This window comes from Homo sapiens, chromosome 17 (assembly GCF_000001405.40).
Source record: "Homo sapiens chromosome 17, GRCh38.p14 Primary Assembly".
Lineage (NCBI taxonomy): Eukaryota > Metazoa > Chordata > Mammalia > Primates > Hominidae > Homo > Homo sapiens.
Genome location: NC_000017.11, coordinates 56848449 through 56852040, shown reverse-complemented (window position 1 = coordinate 56852040; position 3592 = coordinate 56848449). Strand labels below are relative to the sequence as shown.

At 40.1% G+C, this 3592-nt stretch overlaps 1 protein-coding gene across 9 annotated transcripts in view; it reads right to left on the bottom strand.

Moving 5' to 3' along the window:
• The window catches only part of DGKE (diacylglycerol kinase epsilon), a 35417-nt gene that overhangs the window by 17527 nt on the left and 14298 nt on the right, over positions 1 to 3592 (bottom strand). For all 9 annotated transcript variants that reach the window (XR_002958079.2, XM_047436959.1, XM_011525394.4 and 6 more), the window contains 2 exons: positions 3188 to 3345; positions 2809 to 2860 (listed from right to left, as the gene is read on the bottom strand). Coding sequence is in view for 8 of the 9 variants with exons in the window: in XM_047436959.1 (XP_047292915.1) it covers positions 2809 to 2860; positions 3188 to 3345 (210 nt within the window). In the remaining variant the exon portion in view is untranslated. The remainder of the gene's footprint in view (positions 1 to 2808; positions 2861 to 3187; positions 3346 to 3592) is intronic.

The window sequence follows — 3592 nt, the reverse complement described above, 5'->3', positions numbered from 1 at the left end:
GCTGGAGTGCAGTGGCGTGATGATAGCTCACCGCAGCCTTGAACTCTTGGGCTCAAGCAATCTTCCTGCCTCAGCCTCCTGAGTTGCTGGAACTACAGGTGTGTGCCCCCATGTCCAGTTCCTTTGCTTTTTGTTGTATTTTCTGAGTGGTGTCTTCAATTGTACTTTCCAATCTGATACCGAATTTTAGTTTATAAGAGCCTTTTTTGAGGTATGTGTTTCTGAATGTTCCTTTTATAGAACCCTGTTCTATTAATATTTTCATTTTTCTCTGAGAACATTAGTCCCACTCCCTGACTTCCTTCAGCTTCCTGGACTGTGTTTCCTACAATTCTTTCTTGTTGTTTCTTTGGGGCTCTCTCATGGCAGAGGCTTTCCTTAAATGTTTGTTTGTGCCTCCAATCCTTGGCTGTATATATTCATGTTTTAAGAGTAAGGCATAAAAGGCAAACTGTGAACTTTGCATCCAAAAGCAGCTCTTGCTAGGGTATAAGCTTCATTATAGGACTACAGTGCAAAAATCTGGTCCTTTTGCTACGGGACACTCAAATATTGGTACGTGTTAATTTTTATCTTGGGCAAGTTAGCTTCCCCAGAGAGAAATCCTCTCTGCCACTATTCTTGAAGTTGAGTGGATGAAAAGGGCCAGTGATCTCACTTTGCACTAAATCTGTTTTCAGTATGGCGTTAGCTGGCTAGAGTCTCTAAACTTTCCGGAGTAAACCTCCAATCTACTACCTGAGTTGAGGAGGGTAGTAAATGACCATGTGAAGTTGGGGAAAGGGGAAGTGATCTAGGGGACAAACAGCTTCTTTCGCTCACTCCTTCTATTTTCAGAACCACTCTATACTACTGCTCTCTGAGTGATGTGGTGACTCTATACTACTGCTCTCTGAGTGATGTGGTAGAAGCCTCTACCTAGTGCAGGCTTCTAAGCTATTTTCACATTATCTCCAGAGTATCTTTTAAAAATACAGATCTACTCTCTCTGTATTATTTGCTACTTGCTAACCATGCTTTGCACTCTCTCATCTCTTTTCCCTCTGCCTGGAAAGTCCTTTGCTTTTTTTAAGGACCAACTCCCGTATCACTTCCTCTGAATCTTCTCAGCTAGGGCAGAACTAAGCACACCTGCACCCTGTTCTCTCCCATAACACATTTATAGTCTAGCTTGTGAGGTAAGCATAGAATTCCTAAGCCTTTGCTTGGTTCTGCTCAATAAACTGGTTTCTTTCTTGGTTTTCTGCAGTGTAGGCACTTTTGAGCTTTTTTCAATATGCGAACCTTCCTAGTTTTGGCTTCTGAAGACTGCTGTGATCTCTTTCTCCTTAAGGTTTTGTGCCTTCTCAAAGACCTATACAAGATCTTTTAGAGGCACATTTTAGAGGGATTTCAGTGGCAAGGAGATGGAGAAGCAGAGAAACATGCATCAGTGTTCCCCAAATGCTCTTCTTTAAAGTCTGCTTTAATTTTGCTGTTTATCACCCACCTACTGTAATTCTCTTTCTCTGTTTTCTCCTTATTTACTTACTACACTCTTTAGTCTCCTTTAGTGGCCTCTCTTAATCTGTGTCACCTAAATATATCTATTTGCAAGATGTAGTTCATGGCTGGGCACAGTGACTCATGCCTGTAATCCCAACACTTTGGAAGGCTGAGGTGGGAGGATTGCTTGAGCCTAGGAGTTCGAGACCAGCCTGGACAATATAGGGAGACCCTCTCTCTACAAAACAGAAACAAAAACAAAAACTATCTGGGCATGGTGGCACATGCCAGTGGTCCCAGCTACTTCGGAGGCTGAGGTGGGAGGATCGCTTGGGCCCAGAGGTCGAGGCTGCAGTGAGCTGTCATCACAATACCGTACTCCAGCTTGAGTGATAGACTGAGACCTTGTCTCCACAACAAAAGAAAAAAAAAAAAAGAAAAGATGTAGTTCTTGGCCCTCTTTTCCCCTCTCACTCCCCACATTCTCTTATGCATTCTCAGCATTTAAACAATTATCAGAAATAAGGCTTCAGTTCAAAGGCTGATAAATAGGGATGTGAATCCCACAACTTGGGCTACTCCCCCTGCCCCCTCCCCAGTTTATTTTACTTCCTAACCCAGTCTAGATTCCTCAATCTGCATCTCTAGCTCTGTCTTTATTCCTGAGCAATAAGCCTAAACGTCCAACTTCTTGTTTAACACTACGAAAACTTTTAGATTGATATGCCCAATATCTATCTCATTTTCTTCCTACCCAAACCTGAAACTTGGTATTTTTCTTATAGTCATTTCCATATATTCAGTTATAAAAACCAGAAATCTAATAGTAATATGTATTTTCTCTCTCCCCTTTATACTAATCAGTTGTCAAGTATTGATTAATTCTACCTCTAAAATGTCTTTGCATTGTCCTCATCCTGATTCTACCTAGTGCAGGCTTCTGAGCTATTTTCACATTATCTCCAGAGTATCTTTTAAAAATACAGATCTACTCTCTCTGTATTATTTGCTACTTGCTAACCATGCTTTGCACTCTCTCACCTCTTTTCCCTCTGCCTGGAAAGTCCTTTGCTTTTTTAAGGACCAACTCCCGTACCACTTCCTCTGAATCTTCTCAGCTAGGGCAGAACTAAGCATACCTGCACCCTGTTCTCTCCCATAACACATTTACAGTCCAGCTTGTGAGGTAAGCATATAAGCTTCTGTTCTGCTCCACAGCCAGCTCCCTTGAGATAAGCACCAGGTCTCTGTATCCCACCACAGAGTGCCGTATCTTGTGCAATGAAGCTGAAACCACTTGCAACTGAGGCACTAACAACATACCTTGGGTTTTCTTAAGTTGTAGTATCCTTTATTTGTTACTTGAACTTTCCATCTAAAAAACAGAAGTTAAAAAAAACAGCACGTTTTACAATAAACCCCATACTCTGGATGTTTGGATAAATGAGGGTTTTCTATTAAAATACCATCTACAAAAGTAACCACACGTATATGAGCATGCAAATTTAGGGATAAGTACTCAGTGTAACTTATTACTTCGGCTCTTACATAATAAAACAAAACACCAGTATCTGTGTAGGTACAACTAGTATAGTCTTTCACATTTAAATTACATGGCACATTTCATCTACACAAGTCTTCACTTGTTAACCAATTATGGCTAAATCTCAAGAAATCTACTTTTTGGGGAAACGTAACTTACCGATCTAGTTTAATTCCATCTGCTTCCATTACATTTCGCAAAACCTGCGCAACTGGAATTTCTCCAGCATAACCTGTACCCCAACCCAATGTATTGGATAGATCGTTGCCTGTTCCCAGAGGCAAAACTGCAACTTGTGGAATGTACTTTTCTTGTCCCTAGAATATGGAAGATATGTTTTAGATTTTTCTCTCAGACTATTTGCTGGGTAATAATATTTTGTAAAATTTAATAAGACCAAAACAGTAAGGATACAAATATAACAACTGTATGTTGTTTTGCTAAAGCTTGTGCTAATTGCTTAATCAAAACATCTCATTTTTAACTATTTGAAGCTGGCAATGTCTAATATTCATCTGCATAATAAAAAATATAAAGCAAAAATATTCTATATTAGGTTGGGCA